At 41.8% G+C, this 17,587-nt stretch overlaps 1 long non-coding RNA gene across 1 annotated transcript in view, besides 1 other annotated feature; it reads right to left on the minus strand.

Annotated features, from left to right (window-relative positions):
• Positions 1–17,587, minus strand: part of LINC01344 (long intergenic non-protein coding RNA 1344) — a 110,117-nt gene that overhangs the window by 54,225 nt on the left and 38,305 nt on the right. The window lies entirely within an intron of this gene.
• Positions 4,312–4,520: a silencer, noted in NCBI's record as "fragment chr1:182231616-182231824 (GRCh37/hg19 assembly coordinates)". NCBI's record gives its function as "represses an EF-1alpha promoter that drives an FKBP-Casp9 reporter gene in an ReSE screen in K562 erythroleukemia cells {active_cell/tissue: K562}" and the evidence as "EXISTENCE:reporter gene assay evidence [ECO:0000049][PMID:32094911]".

The raw sequence follows: 17,587 nt of genomic DNA on the forward strand, positions 1-17,587 counted from the left end.
TTCTTCCTTCCTTCCCTTCCCTTTTTCTTTCTTCCTTCCTCTTTTCTTTCTTTCTCTTTATTTCTTTCTCTTTCTTTTCTTTTCTTTCTCTATTTCTTTCTTTTCCTTCCTTCCTTCCTTCCTTCCTTCCTTCCTTCCTTCCTTCCTTCCTTCTCTCCCTCCCTCCCTCCTCTCCTTCCTTCTTCCCCTTCTTCTTTCGTTTCTTCCTTCCCTCTCTTTCTGTCTTTCCATTTCTTAATAATAAGTGATGAGGCCGGGCACAGTGGCTCACGCTTGTAATCCCAGCACTTTGGGAGGCTGAGGCAGGCTGATCATGAGGTCAGGAGTTCGAGACCAGCCTGGCCAACACAGTGAAACTCTGTCTCTACTAAAAATATAAAAATTAGCTGGGCATGGTGGCGGCCGCCTGTAATCCCAGCTACTTGGGAGGCTTAGGCAGGGAATCTCTTGAACCTGGGAGGCGGAAGTTGCAGTGAGCCGAGATCGTGCCACTGCACTCCAGCCTGGGAGACAGAGCTAGACACCATCTCAAAATAAATAAATTAATAAATATAAAAAAAATAAGTGATGAATGTTGGACATGGTGGCTCATGCCTGTAATCCCAACACTTTGGGACTACACCGGTAATCCCAGCACTTTGGGCCAATGCAGGTGGATCACCCGAGGTCAGGAGTTCAAGGCCAGCCTGGCCAACATAGTGAAACCCCATCTCTCCTAAAAATACAAAAATTAGCCTGTAATCCCAGCTATTCAGGAGGCTGAGGCAGCAGAATTGCTTGAACCCAGGAGGTGGAGGTTGCAGTGAGCCAAGATCGTGACCACTGTACTTCAGCCTGGGCAACAGAGTGAGACTCCATCTCAAAAATATAATAAAAATAAAAATAATAAGTGATGAAACTTTTGGAAGTTTGGTGACTTGGGCCCAGTGTCTTTATCTCAGAGCTTATATTCACGTGTGACCAGTTAGTTAAATTGTCCAGAAATGCAAAACAGTAATCACAGGGACCCATCCTGAGTCTTCCACGGAGGTTAACTCTGGTCTATGACCCAGACTTCTTCCCTTTTCCCTCAGAATCAGCCACCTTCTTGCCTCATAAAAACAGGGAGGGGTTATCATGCCTCCCTCCCCTCTCACATGACCTTGCAAGGCTTCAGTTACAGTGTCTTACCATGAGCCCACGTGTCACAGCACTAGCAGAGCCAGCCTCACTTAACTGCCTTTTGTTGCCAACATTAACTGCTGGGCTTCCTGGGTGCTTCAAACCAGAAGCCTTCCTGGGGGCTTAACATCAGAAGCATCTCAACACGTAGCACCAGGGCCACAGGCTATGACTGGAACTCTTGTGGTTGTGCCCTGTGGTCATTTTGCCAGTTATGAGTGAACCTCAAACAATCGACAACTGGGGCTCTGTCCCAATAACCTCCCTGATAGCTTGCATGTTTCTCTTAACCTCATGAGTCTGCAGAAGCAGGCTGGCAAGTGTTCAAGAACAGGCCATCTCATGAGGTTTCCTGTACTTCCTGCCACTGCTGTCGCTGCTGCCAGGGGCACACTCCCCCAGAAAAGCCTTTCTCATGATAGGTTAGCATTTCTGCTACCAGTTGTGGCAGAGGCCAGATGTGAAGGGCATGAAAAGGCAAAATAATGAAAAGGAAATATACCCTCCACTTTCTTGTTTTAGAGCTTTTTTTCCTTTGTTTTTGTGGATTTGTTTTGGAGGAAAGGGAATAGAAGAAAGGGGTGATGGTTTGAAAAATTAACATGTAAGCCCGTGTAAAATTTGCAAAGAGGATTCACAGCGGGTTGGAAGAGGAAGAGGTCGTGTCATTGTGGAATTAGCCAAAGGAATGTGCAGCCCTTTCAGTTGTACACTAAAATGGCAGAAGTTTGCACCAGTCAAAACCAACATCCCAGTTCTTTCCCTGCATTCACCTGGGTCCTCTTTCATGAAGTCTCTGTCCAGTTCATTGAGTGGTATTGTCTTATACTCAAGAGGAAATCACCAGGTTCAGCACAGTAGGGAACATTGACAGACTGTGGTCACCACAGCCAGATGTTCCAAACTGTCCTGAAGGGCTGAGAAGCTTGTCATGTTCAATAATGTATCCCAGTGCCCAGAAAAGTGCTTGGTACCAAACTGACACTCAAGAGATTATAAATATCCCTTGATGATTGAATAAATGAATAGAGGTGATTTTGGCTGACATTAACATTAGATTTAGAGAAAAATAGTTATTTTATAGCAAAACAGATATAAATTACTTTATTACCATAGAATAATCTCTGTCCCCTTTCTTTGTTCACTATCTTTATTAATCCATAAGTGAATCTCCCCTGCCCCATCCCCAGTCATATACCCATATGAAGTGCTGACATTTTATTTTTCTGTACTCACTGATGACAGATTTTTTTTAAAAAAGATGGCAGCTTGCACAAGGAGCAGGGTGGTCGACGTTACCTGACAAGGTCCCTGGCCTGTGTATCTTCTCCTCAAAGCCTCAAATGCTCATGCAGCCCAAGGATAGAGGGAACCAGAGAGCTGTGGTCAGCCTGAAGTGACTTTGCCACATCTGAAATGACCCATGAGCTAAGGGCCTATGGAGACTACAACAGTTGTGAGACTCCCACAGCAGTTCCAGATAACTTTTAAAGTTATCTAATCCAACTGCTCAGCCTCCCAAAGTGCTGGGATGACAGGCGCGAGCCACCACACCTGGCCACATCTGTATTCTTTATGCTATATTAAGGTAGCATCATCCTCAGTCCTGCCATGTTGTTACTACTGGTTTTCCTTGTATTGAGCTTTCCCCTAAATGTGCCCACTGGGCTTCTGTGCTTGAGTTCATGGATAGCCAGGACTTGCCATGTCTGCTGGGCCCAGCAAACCTGCAAAAGCATGCCCTCCCACAGCAACATTGCAGTCACCAAACATTGTCCACCAAGTCTCTGGGAAATCCATAACAATGCATTTACATTCTTTTTTTTTTTTTTTGAAATAGAGTTTTGCTCTTGTTGCTCAGGCTGGAGTGCAATGGTGCGATCTCAGCTCATGGCAACCTCTGCCTCCCGGGTTCAAGTGATTCTCCGGCCTCAGCCTCCCAAGTAGCTGGGATTACAGGCGCATGCCACCACGCCCAGCTAATTTTGTATTTTTGGTAGAGACAGGGTTTCTCCATGTTGGTCAGGCTGGTCTCGAACTCCCAACCTCAGGTGATCTGCCCGCCTCAGCCTCCCAAAGTGCTGGGATTACAAGCGTGAGCCACTGCGCCCGGCCACATTTGCATTCTTATATGGAAATTGACTGCTTATTTTGTTACTTAAACTCTAGTATCACTACTGAACTCTTATGTCTGCCCTCTTGTTGGCCATTTTCTGTGTTCTCTCTTTGCTACTGTTAACAGTCTTCATAGAATCTGATTTTGTCCTTTTACCTTGAGATGTGTTCTCATACTTTAAATTCTAGATTTTGACCAGGGCAGGATATATACAAGACAAGCTTAAAACATCTTGTAGTGCCAGAAAGTAAGAAAGTGCTCAAAAACAAAAACAAACAAAAAAAACCAAATAAACAAAACAAACACACACTGATGGGGCTATGTCAAAGAGACACAGGAGGAAACTGAAAGTGCTCCCAATGTCCAAAACTAGAACAATTTGAGCAAAAAAATAAAGTAGTACTGAAAGTAGAAAACCTGCTTATTCATATAAACTGGCCAGGTGCAGTGGCTCATGCCTGTAGTCCCAACACTTTGGGAGGCTGAGGTGGGTGAAACACTTGAGGCCACGAGTTCAAGACCAGCCTGGCCAACATGGTGAAACCCTGTCTTTATTAAAAATACAAAAATTAGCCAGGTATGGTGGCACACACCTGTAATCTTAGCTACTTGGGAGGCTGAGGCACAAGAATCACTTAAACCCGGGAGGCAGAGGTTGCAGTGAGCTGAGATCGCACCACTGCACTCCAGCCTGGGTGACAGAGTGAGACTCTGTCCCCCCTAAGAAAAAAGAAAGAAAAAGAAAAAGGAAAAAGAAAGTAGAAAATCTGCTTATTCATATAAATGAATATCCTTTCTGTCGCCTTCTTCCTCATCTTTGTTGGATTTACTCTGCCTTTGGCTGGAATTTTATCCTCTCTCATTGTTCATTATACAATGAAATACCAAACTCCTGTGGGGTTTTTGGTTGGGGTTTTGTCTATTTTTTGTTTTTATTGCATTTTCTTAGGCATCTTCTCTCTTTTCACATTTGAGATGGGCTTTGAAGGCTGATAGTGATAAGGGATAGGGAGAAAAGGTAAAACAGGCAAGAAGTATGTGAAATGCCTGGATGGAGTTTGACATTGTAGATAGCATGACCAGGTAAGGCCCCACTGAGGGGAGCACTTTAAGTAAAGTGCAGGAGGAAGTGATGAAGTGAGCCATGTGGTTATCTAGGAACAAGCATGACGGACAGAAGAGCAAGCACAAAGGTCCTGAACCAGGAGCAAGCCTGGCATGATTTAGAAATAGCAAAATGTGGCTTAAGCCAAGTGACTGAGGAGGAAATCAGCAGGAGATTAAATCAGGGAGGTCATAGGAGGAGAAGCAGGTCATGTAGATCATGATATGGATTTTGTGTTACTATGCTGGGGAGTGAGGAGATACTATTAGAAATTGTATATGTGAATGTGTTTGTGAGGTTTGTACCTGGAATGATCCAGGAAAAGTGGATCCAGGCTAAATTTGCCAGACTAAGAGTTAAGGACTCTTCCTTTTAAGCAGAGAGCAAGGTCATTAAGAAGAAGAGAGAATGCATGTATGCAACAGTTTCCAGGCTATAGTTTAGTTCTGTGCATACTGTGAGAATGTGTTGAATGTTTGTTGATTGGTTTATTGATAATTTCTAAAGTTTGCAGGTAGAGAAATAGATCGAGAAAATTGTCATGAGTAACTGGAAAAGTAGAGCCAGGTCTTTTGACTGATAGCTCTGTGGCATCTCTAGGCACCACTTTCTTTAGAAATTTGGCTCTGATGAAAATTAATACCAGACCACTTAACTTGGAGCTAGCATCAAAAGTATCCAGAAGAGAGATTTAAAATGCACACACTTCAGCCTATTCTTAGGAACTCCATGTAAGTAGGCTGGGGGAAGGGCCCAGGCACACGTATTTTGAGAAAGCTCCCAGGTAATTCTGATGTGCACCCCTGGTCAAGGAGCCAATTGCAAACCTCTAAATCCATGGAATAGTTGTTTAATTGTAATGTCTGTAAGACCCAAGTTAGTGGAGTATGTGAGAATCCCTACACCAGCTATTTATGAGCAATGGACAAATAAATCAAGGAAATACAAACAGGAAAGTCACTTGGCTGCCTTTAAATACAGTTTCTTCTCATTAGAGTGAACATCACCTTTAAGAAATTTGCATCATTTGAAAAACCTAGAGCTAAAAATTTTCTTAGCACTGTCTGTGAACAATGAGCAAGTTGGTCCAAAGTTTCATTGGGTTCATTTCTCTCAATATATTGCTCTAATAATCAATGCCATCACTCAGAGTAGCTGCCATTGTAGAATGCCTCTGCCATACTAAATAAATTTTTAAGTTCTTATTTTGAAAAATGTGTAGGGCTTTATAAATTTGATTCTTAGGGGGGAAAACTGAATTAGGTTGTTTTTATTTTGCATACACTATTAGACTGACTAACTCTTTTGGTAGACAAACAGAAGGTTCCACATCCCTGATCCAAGAGGATATGACTAAGAAAAGCAATAGAGTAAATAAGATTGTAGAAGGTGACACGGTTTGAATGTGTACCTTCCAAGTTCATGTCTGCAATGTTGAGAGATGGGATTTTGGGGAGGTGATTGGTTTATGAGTGCTCTAACCTCACAAATTGATTAATTCCACTCATGGGTTAATGGATTAATGGGTTGTGGAGGGGGTGGGTTAGTTATCACAGGAGTGGATCTGTTGTAAAAGCCAGTTTGGACATCTCTCGTGAGCCCCCTCACCATGCAATGCCCTGAGCCACCTCAGGACCCCACAGAGAGTGCCCAGCAGCAACAAGGCCCTCACCAGATGCAGCCCCTATACCCTGGACTTCACAGCCTCTAGAACTCTAAGAAATACACATATTTTCTTTATAAATTATCCAGTCTCAGTTATTCTGCTATAGCAACAGAAAACAGACTAAGACAGACGGTATTCTAAACATAGTAGCTTGGAACTCAGGCTCCAGTGTCAGACAGTTCTGAGCTCACTCTAGTTCTCTGTCATATATCAGCTTTGTGAAATGGAATAACTATCCTCAGCTTCATCATCTGTAAACTGGAAATCATAAAGGTACCTATCCCTTGTATTTTGCAGGGAATAAAAGAGAACATTTATGTAAAATGCTTAGCTCACAGTGCCTAAGTGATAATAGGTGTTTAATAAATGTTAGCTCTTATTTTTTTCATAGATACTGAGATACATCCTAAAACTGAGTCTTATAATGTTACTTGCTAGATTTTTTCTTTCTTATCAATATGTGAGTTGCTTACAATTGGTGCTATCTTAAAGTTGATGAAAAAGATATTAATGACTACTAGTGTACAGAATAGTCAGTGACTTTAGTAAACATAAATTTACAAATAGGGTTATGAGTTAATTCGTAATGTTTTGTTTAAATAATTTGAATAGGCCCAGAAGATATCTGCTTGTATTAGCAATTATATCAATTATTGAGTGTCTACTCAATAACAATAAATACTTCTTTCAAATATATTCCAAAAAGTCACCTTTATATTAATTCAGTGGACCTTCCAAATAATGCAAATTGATGCCATTGTAAACATCTATAAAATGATTTTTTTTTTTAGGCAGATGATAACAGCCTACCATTATCTGAATCTATTGAAATGGCATAATAGACTTTGGTTGCAACAAGAGAGATTACAGTCAGAGAGAAAGTAGAACTAGAAAGTGTAGACAGAACTACTCTGGTATGTCTTGGCTGCCTCCTGCTCTGAGCTGACTTGACACTAATTAAGCATCACTGGGGGCTGGGTGCCGTGGCTCATGCCTGTAATCCCGGAACTTTGGGAGGCTAAGGTGGGAGGATCACTTCAAGTCAGGAGTTCAAGACCAGCCTGGGCAACAAAGCGAGACCCTGTCTCTACAAAAAAAAAAAAAAAAAATTAAATTAGGCCGGGTGCAGTGGCTCACACCTGTAATCCCAACACTTTGGGAGCCCAAGGCAGGCAGATCACTTGACGTCAGGAGTTGGAGACTAGCCTGGCCAACATGGCAAAACCTGTCTCTACTAAAAATATAAAAATTAGCCAGGTGTGGTGGTGTGCCTGTAATCTCACCTACTCAGGAGGCCGAGGCAGGAGAATGGCTTGAGCCTGGGAGGCACAGGTTGCAGTGAGCCGAGATCGTGCCACTGCGCTGCAGCTTGGGTGACAGGGCAAGACTCTGTCTCAAAAAAAAAAAGCTGGGTGTGGTGGTGCATGCCTGTATTCCCAGTGGCTCAGCAGGCCAAGGTGGGAGGATTGCCTAAGCCCAAGAGTTCTAGGCTACAGTGAGCTACGATCACCTCACTGCAGTCCAGCCTGCGCAAAAGAGAGAGACCCTGTCTTTAAAACAAAACAAAACAAAACAAGAATCTCTGGGGACTCTTTACTGTGTCTGCTTTGAGGGTGCTGCTAAGAATATATCCACTGTATTGCTCAGTGTCCCTTTTAATGAGGACCCTTTGGAAAAAGTTTCCCCTAGTTTTAGTTTCAGTGTTCGTTATTCAACAAGTATTTACAGAGCATCCCACTATTTGCCAGACAGTGTTCTGGAAGGTACAGTCTTTGTGCTTATGGGCCTCACATAATAGGAGAAATATATAATGAGCAAATGATTAAATAAGTGAATAAAAGAATGTTATGTGGTGATTAACTGTTATGAAAAAAAATTAAAGAAGGTGAAGCAAGACAAGGGTGGAGATAAGGGAAGGGAGGCTTCTTAGACTGGAAAGTCAGAAACTTCTTTGAAGATGGGACTTTCAGCTGAGACCTGAATGGCAAATTCGACATGTGAAGATGTGGGGAACAAGCATTCCAGGAAGAGACAAAACATGGTGTAAAGGCCTCAAGTCAGGCATGAGTTTGGCATGTTCAAGGAACAAAAAGGAGATGAGGGGTGAGAAACATGGTGGAGAAGCAGGGAGGTGCTGGCTGACAAGGCTTCAGGGTCCAGCAAGGACTTGCAGGAATCAGAGGTGCAGTGGGAAGCTGTTAGAACTTGGAAACACATCTGAGCTACTCTGAATAAACAGTGTCATGTTTGTTTCATGATTCCTGTGACCTGTATATCTGAATCCATTTCCTTTTCTCATTCCCTGCTCAAAAGCTTAGGGCTAGATTTATGACCCAACTTTGTTAAATACCTAGGATCCAATCCTGTATGCTATGGACTGAATGTTTGTGCCCCCCAAATTCATATGTTGAAACCTTATCCCCAATGTGGTGATATTGGGAGGTGAAATGGGATTTGTGCCCGTATAAGAAGAGACATGAGGGAGCTTGCTCTGCCTCTCTGTTCTCTGCCACATGAGGCTACAAGAAGAAGACAGCCATCTGCACAGCAGGAAGCAGGCTCTCACTGGACACCAGATCTCCCAGCACCTTGATCTCAGTGCCTCCAAAACCATGATAAATAATGTCTGTTGCTCAAGCCATCCGGTCTATGGTACATTTGTCACAACGGCCCAGACTAAGAGTGCATTTTGTATTTGCTTCATTCCTGGTACCACCTTGTGCCTAGCACTGCGTTTCCTTTTCCTTTCTCTTTAACACTTCTTATTTTACCTAGTTCTGGCTTATGTTATCTTTTGAATAAGTCACTTCAAACCTTTTTTTGGATGAAGGTGTATGTACGTACATACATGTATACATAAACAATGGTGAAAGAATGGAGGTACTGATGCCTCTTTCATGGGATCTTCAGGATAGGACAGATTTTTATCTATCCACTGGAATGATTTCAGCTCAGATGAACTCAAAGCCCATCTATGACTGTCCGCATCTTGTGTTTTAGCATGTAGCTATGGTTTTAGAAGGGATCACAGTTGATACTCATTTGAAGTAGTTATGTTCTATAAAGTTTCTGTAAGCCCTCAGTGTATGAATACCAAACTATTTTTTTTTCTTTTGAGACAGAGTTGCCCAGGCTGGAGTGCAGCGGTGCAATCTCTGCTCACTGCTACCTTCGATTCCTGGGTTCAAGCAATTTTCCTGCCTCAGCCTCCCGAGTAGCTGGGATTACAGGCATCCACCACCACACCCGGCTAATTTTTTTGTATTTTTAGTAGAGACAGGGTTTCACCATGTTGGCCAGGCTGGTCTTGAACTCCTGACCTCAGGTGATCTACCCGCCTCGGCCTCCCAAAGTGCTGGGATTACAGGTGTGAGCCACTGCACCAGGCCAGCCAAACCATTTTTCCCAGGGGAAATATGGTGTTCCCACAAGCCGCTGGCCACATTTTCATTAACCAATCAATAGATACCTTTGTTTTATGTGTGTTTCTGTTTAAAGACACCTTATTTAATATATATTGTTGATTCATTAACATTGAACTCACAGCCAACAGCACTATAACTCATGCCTGAACCAAGCTTAGCTAACACATGTATTTTCTCCATAAGGCATTTAGTCTTGTTGCACTTAGCAACACCAGACAGCAATTTAGCCCTATGCTTGGGGGCCATTTTAACAGCACAATCACCAAAAGAAAGTGCAAAAGTATGAAAATTTAGCACTAAATAGACTGCAAAAATGACTCTTGTTTATAGTATGAGAGCTGGAACAAGAAGGCACAGCATCACCTGTTTCATCTTAGCTTGAAACATGTATGTCCAGCTACTCAAATATTTCTACCCTCTGCACATGCATCTGAATGATTAGGGAAGTGTCTTGAGCATAGATTTGGGGGCTGAAAATAAATTTTAGTGAGTAAAATTTGCAAACACAGAATCTGTGAAAAATAGGAATTTACTACATTTTAAAAAAATCTTTTACCTTTAAAGTAGACCAGGGTAATCCCAGTTTTGGGATGTATGTCAGCAAGACTGGGAGCTCTTTATCCATTTACTGAATGTAGGGGACCTTCAAATGAGGTAATCCTGGAGGCATATTTACTCCAATGTGAAAAATGCAATCCATAGTTCAAGTTTATATATACCAAGAAGCTGAGTGGTTCAGTCGTTGTACTACAGGTACATGGAGATTGTTTTTATGACTTGAAAGAAAGAGTCCATGTTATTGGGAACATTAGGCAAATGAATTAGGAGGCTTGTTTTTCAGCAGTTTTCCCTAAGGCAGTTAAGGAACCAGAAGGTATAATCAAAGTGGTCAGTTGTATCAGAAATTTCTGGAAGCACTGTGGTTGAGAGGAGAGGCAAAACTTCCAGCCTCTTATCTAGAGAGGGCCCTCACTGTCCTCAGAATTTGGACCTCCCAAACAGCTGGCCTCTAAATGGCTGCCCCGATGGGACAGACCAGAGGAACAAGGAGCAAAACTGGGCTCTTCGTAGTTTCCTGTTCTTCATTCCCCTTGGTCTGTGTTTGTGGCTTTCCACCACTCTCCTAGGTGTCACTCTTAGTTCTTCAGTCATGCTTGGTGCCCCTTCCTCTTGATCCCCCTGGCTGTCAGTTTCTGTCAGGCTCCACCTTGCATCTTTATTCACCTTCCCATGCTCACAGACACAAGCTTGGTCTATGCCTTCACTAATGCTCTCTAACTCTATTGCAAAACATGCCTGATCATTTTCTCTGCTTTCACCTCAACTTCCTCCAAGATAACTTCTTCCTCAAAGAACCCCTTCCTAAAAAGCCTTCTGGGATTCCTGTGTATGATTTAAACTCAAACACCTCTGACTTCAAATTCCTCTACCTACATTCCTAGTTCTTTCCAAAGTAATCCCTTGCTTCTTCGAGTCCTGCCTGTCACTGCTTTTCTACATGTGCTCATAAACTTTAGGCAAACTATTTTCCTTGCTGTTTTCAAAACATAACTAAATTTCCCAACATCATGTCAGGAGTTATCCTGCACCTTCTACCAGATATATCTTCTTTCTATAACCATCATTTACAACTATTCCCAGGATTAATGACAGTTTCCCAGTTCCCCTGCTGGCCAAATAGATGCAGTTTTCTGCGCCCCAAACCTCCAAAGCACTTTACTTTTGCCTTACTAGGATTTTACATGTTTTGCTTTGCTCTAATTATTTTTGTCTATATCTTTCTTGCCATTAATCCCTACTATAAGAGCCATAAAGTTTCCTTACCCGTAATTCCTAATAAAGGCCTTGCACAGAATAGGTGCTCAATAAATATTTATGAAACCTGAAGGGCGTTTTAATTATCACATGGTAAATTGGCAATTTGGTAGCCACCTCTTTAGAAAGGGAAAGAGGAAGAGAAGAGGGAAAGAGGAAGAGAAGAGGGAATGCCAGCAGAATTTTGGGCTGGGCGCCGTGGCTCACGCCTGTAATCCCAACACTTTGGGAGGCTGAAACGGGTGGATGGCTCAAGCCCAGGTGTTCAAGACCAGCCTGGGCAACATGGTGAAATCCCATCCCTACAGAAAAAAAATACAAAAATCGGCCCAGCATGGTGGCTCACACCTGTAATCCAGCACTTTAGGAGGCCGAGGCGGGCGGATCACGAGGTCAGGAGATCGAGACCATCTTGGCCAACATGGTGAAACCCCATCTCTACTAAAAATATAAAAATTATCTGGGTGTGGTGGTGTGTGCCTGTAATGCCAGCTACTCGGGAGGATGAGGTAGGAGAATCACTTGAACCCAGGAGGCGGAGGTTGCAGTGAGCTGAGATCGCGCCACTGCACTCCAGCCTGGTGACAGGGTGAGACTCTGTGTGTATATATATATGTGTATATATATATACGTATATATATACATATATGTATATATACACACATATATATATATAGCCTGTCTGTAGTCCCAGCTACTTACAGGGCTGAGGCAGGAGGATTGCTTGAGCTGTGGAGGTCGAGGCTGCAGTGAGCCACGATCATGCCACTTTACTCCAGCCTAGGTGACAAAGTAAGACCGTGTCTTAAAAAAAGAAAGAAAATATAGATGTGGTAGGAAATTGTTTTCAGTTATCTGGAAAAAAGTTGCATGTCTCATTTTCTTTTAAAAAAAAAAAACAGAACTTCTCTAAATTCTTATTTTGGATACAGAATTAAAGAAGCAATAAAGGAACTGCTATTCCAGAATTAATTTTGATCAACCAGTAAGGAGGCATCAGGATTACAAAGATGAGGAAAACTTTAGGAAAAAATAACCATGACAGCCAAAACTCCCATGTGCCAAAAAGTAAATTGTGAGTTAGGAAGAACCAACTTCTGAAGCTGATTCAAAAAAGTTAACTGAGCATATATTTTGTATCAGGCACTACTCAACAACTAGGAATACTGCAAAGTTCCTATCCTCACAGAACCTGCTGTTTATAGGGGGAGGGAGTAATAAAAAGCAAATTTGCAAACAAATATACCATATAATTTCAGGTAGTGATAAGTGTTACTGAAAAATAAAGCAAACTCTTGGGAGAAATGGCTGATTCTAGGACTAATGTAGATATATACAAGATAAGCTTAAAACACAGTGCCAGAAAGTAAGAAAGTACTCAAAAATGGAGAAACAAAACAACCCCACACTGATGGCAGTACGTCAAAGAGACACAGCAGCAAACTGAAAGAGCTCCCAGGGCCAAAGCTGGAACAATTTGAGCAGGAAAGTAAATAAAGTAGCATTGAATTATAACCCAAGTACAGAATAAATAACCATGAGTCCACACTGGTACACATAAATGACTGAATAAATAAATAAATAAGGGGAGAGAAGACAGAAACCTTCCAGGCAGAGAGGAATTCCAAATAACACATGGAGATAATCCACTCTCAAGGAGATGGAGCTTAATTCCCCATCCTTTAAGTGTGAGCTGTGCAGGGTGACTTCCTCCAAAAAGGTACAGTATGAAAAGGGGTTGTGGGGGAGTAACTTGAATAACTTTAGAGTAGAGAAACAGGACAAAGAACAGCTCAGGCAGATGATCAAGGTCAACATCAACAGTGATAAGTCATGTCGATAGTATGTACCCTTGATATGATATGATGAGAATGGCACTTTCCCCCGTGATCTTCCTAACTAAAACATATAACTCCAATCTAACCATGAGAAAAACATCAGACAAATCCCAATATAGAGACAATCTATAAAATACCCAATTAGTACTCCTCAAAACTGTCAAGGTCATAAAACACAAGGAAAGTCTGAGAAACTGTGGCAGTTAAGAGGTGCTTAAGGAGATCGCAGTTACATATCATGTGGTACCCTGGATAGAATCCTGGAACAGAAAATGATACTAGGTTAAACCTAAGGAAATCTGGATAAAGTGTAGACTTTCATTAGTAACAATGTATGAATATTTGTTCATTAATTATAACAAATGTATTATACCAAAATAAGATGTCAATAATTGGAAGAACCCAATGTGAGGCATATAGGAACTCTGTACTATTCTTTTTAATTTTTTTTTTTTTTGTAAATCAGGAGCTATTCCTAAAAAATGTTTATTTTAAAAATAAATAAAGCAAGCTCGGGAGATAGTGGCAAGGATGGAAGGCTGCTCTTTCGGTGGTCAGGGAAGATCTGTCTGAGGTAGAAACATTTGCACAGAGACCTAAATAAAATGAGGCCAAGCCATGAGTCTTTCTGGAGGAAGAGTATTGCAGGCAGAGAGAAGAGCAGGTACTAAGGTGCTGCTGCAGGGGGGTGTTGGCAGGAGGGTGCTGCTGCAGGGAAGTGCTGCTGCAGGAGGGTGCTGCTGCAGAGGGTTTTGCTATGCTCTTAGCATGTCAAAGGAGCAGCAAAGATGCCAATGTGTACAGAGGAGGCTGAGTGGTAGGAAATGGGGTCAGGTAGGTACTAGGGCAGGATGCTGCAGTCCTTTAGGCCACGCAAATGTGAATTCTTTTGTGGGTGAGGCACAAGGCAGGACGGCATAGAGTGCACTCCAGAGCTAATCTGTGGAGGTCTTATCCTGACTCTTCCACATGGGAGCTGTAAGACCTCAGGATAGTCATATGCCCTCTCTGATAGGTGGATGTATAATAGCTGTAGGATGTAGATCATGCCACAGCTGGCCTCACAGGAGTGTTGTGAAGACTGACAATCTGTAAAGCACTAACATCCTTCGGCACATAATAAGTGCGGTATAAATAAGTATTTAACTTTTATTGTGTGGAAAGCCCCTGGCAAGGTTAAGCTGAAGAGTGCCAGTGACTTAGATTACTCCTGTGAAGGCTCTCTGTATGCTCACTGGGGAGAACAGACTGGAAGGAGGCAAGAGGAGAGGTCAGTGAGGAGGCCAGAGATCAGTGGTGGAGGCCAGAGTGGCAGTGGCTTCGATGTGGCAGGGATGGTCATGATGGGGCTTCTGGATGAATTCCGAAAGCAGATTTGCCATGATTTGCTAATGGACTGGATAAAGGGTATAAGTGAAGGGGAGGAGTAAGCTTGTCTTTCAGAACTGAGCTTGAGTAACTGAGCAAATGGTGGTGCCAATTTATCGATATGGGGAGAACGGAGGGAGGAGGATTTTGCTTGATTGGTTGGTTTGTTTTGTTTTCTTTTTTTTTTTTTTTTTGTTTCGGTCTGGAGAAGGATTAAGACATATTAAGAGAGGAAAGTTCAAGTTAAATGAGAAGCTCTCAAAAGTTCAATTCTGACAATATAGTTACAAAGGATTCCAAAATGGGAGAAAAGAGGACGGCATCTGAAGATGCTTATGTAGTTATAGGGTTTGTTATTTAATGAGCTCAGATTATTCCTTTAAGGCAAAAAGAGATAAAGTGGCATGAAACTGTACCCACACATTGTACCAATATCAATTTCCTGGGTTTGCTATTGTACTATAGCTAAGTAAGATGTAACCATTGGGGGAAACTGAGGGAGGGATACTCCAGACCTCTGAGTACTATCTTTCCAGCTTCCTGAAAATCTATCATTATTTCAAAACCAAAGGTTTTTTAAATTACTCTTATTAGGGAGAAGGAAATAACAGCAGATCATTTAGAGGTTTTTGCTGACTAAAAGAAAGTATAAATTAATATTGTGATGTTGTTGACAAACTAATGCTTACGTGGCTAGGGTTCATGGAAGTGTAAAATTCCACAGAGGGATGGGAGAAGAATGACTTCATTTATCACAGGTCAATCCACATCCGAAGTGGTAAGTTCATCTCTGGGTGCCTTCATCACTTTCAGGTTGACAAGCACACTGAATGACAACTGAACAAGACATTCAGAACTGGGCAATGCTGTCACATTAGAAGTCATTGAAGGAGCTGAAGAATTTAGCCAGGAAAATTGCAGATGCCCACAAGACATAACAACTGTCTTTAAACGCTTGAGAAACTATCATTTGGGAATCAAATTTAGATGAATATTTGACATCCCTTTAGGTGCACTTTCTTTTTACAAAATGCCAGAAGTATTTTTTAAAGAACATTCAGCTGCATTAAAACCTCTGATTTTAAAAACAACTAAGTGGAATAAACCTGGAACTTCAAAATGTTCTCCCAACTGAAACCTGTTACCCGTTTGGTTTGAAATTGAGTCACTAACTTTAAGCAGGATGCAACTTCTTACCACCACCTTCAACCATATCTTCCAGCAATGATCTCAAGAGCTATTAGGATAGATCTGTGACTTGTACTTAGGGGTTAGACATCTGTCAGCCCTTGAGATGGGACCAAGAAAAAGTTTTAATTAAATATTTTCCTTGACTGACAACGAGGAGGGCATAACACTTTTTCTATTTTTTCATTTGTTCTATGGATTGAAAGGAAAATGGATTTAATACTGCAAAGTTAATATTACTTCTTCATGTAAATTTTTATTATATACTGCAATGAAGGTTAGACAAAAATTTTAAAAGAAATGATTTGACACTTTGCTATAACAAGAAACTATAAAAAGTATGATAATAAAACCCAGTGAAAAAATCTTGCAGACACTGATTTTCATATCCTGATTATAATGAAGGCCTTAACTGAGCAGTTGCACTGTTGTGTGCCTGTTCACCCTGCTGTTGAATTTTTCTTTTTCCTTTCTCTCTTTTTTTTTTTTTTTTTTTTTTTTTTGAGATGGTATTTTGCTCTTGTCACCCAGGCTGGAGTGCAAAGGCATGATCTCAGCTCACTGCAACCTCTGCCTCCCGGGTTCAAGCTATTCTCCTGCCTCAGACTCCCAAGTAGCTAGGATTACAGGTGCCCGCCACCATGCATAGCTAATTTTTTTTTTTGTATTTTTAGTAGAGACACGGTTTCACCACGTTGGCCAGGCTGGCCTTGAACTCCCGACCTCAGGTGATCCACCCACCTTGGCCTCCCAAAGTGCTGGGATTACAGGCGTTAGCCACTGCACCCGGCCCCTGCTGTTGAATTGATCTATTTATGACCCACAGAGAGCATGAGACTAATGTATTACTTTAGTGAAAAAAAATCAAAATGCTGAACACCGTTATGAACCAGCAACAAAACGGAGAACATTATTCTTTCTTCAGACAAAACCAATCTCTTGCTACACCTGGAGCAGAGAGTGTGTGTGGTCTGGTTGCTGGCTCTCTGGAAAGATAAGCCCAGGGAAAGATGGCTCAGTAATACAGTGAAGCTAGGAAGGGAGTTTGCACATCCAAGCATTATACTGAAGGAACTCTATATGCATTATTTCATGTAAGCCTCACCGCAACCCTACGAAAGGAGGTACCATTATTCTCATTCTACAGATGAGGAACTGGGGCTCAAGTAACTTGCCCAAAGGTACTCAACTAGAAAGTAGTAGAGGTGGGATTTAAAGCCACATCTGTCTTGAGTCCAAAGTCCATGCTTTTATCTACCATGTTCTGTGAAATGTTCACTGAATATTAAATTGTAGCACTTAATCCATTCCCCTCCCCCACCCACCCACTGTCTTTATCTGGACAATCAGAAGTTCAGAAAGTTGAGGATACTTGTCCAAAGCTGGTTTGCAGTAGAACTGAGGCTTGAACCAAGATCTCCTGACTCCCGGGTCAGGATATTTCTGCTGTGCCAGGGACCATTCCATCTGAAAAGCTAAAAGCTGAGAGAGGATATTTCTAAATTCTAGAAAATCACAAAGGATATGAAGTGAGTAAATTTAGAATCTGCCAAAACCCAGCAGTATAAAAATAACAGGACTAGGAACCATTCTGGAAGTTTGAGAGAGATGCATTTACGAGGGAGAAGTGTGATGGAGCACACATGGTAACGAGCATACAGGACTCACCATCCCTAAGAAGCTGCACAGGCTGAGAACAGAGATTCAATTAAAGTGTTAGGTTTTACTTTTATTTATTTATTTAACACACTATATACCAAGCTCTGTGTTAGGTGGTTGTTACAGCCTGAATTGTGTCCGTCAAACATTCCTATGTTGAAGCTCTAATACCCATATTCTCTCAATGTAACTGTATTTGGAGACAGGGCATTAAGTTAAAATGTGGCCATCAGGGTGGGCCTAATC

Source organism: Homo sapiens, chromosome 1 (assembly GCF_000001405.40).
Source record: "Homo sapiens chromosome 1, GRCh38.p14 Primary Assembly".
NCBI lineage: Eukaryota > Metazoa > Chordata > Mammalia > Primates > Hominidae > Homo > Homo sapiens.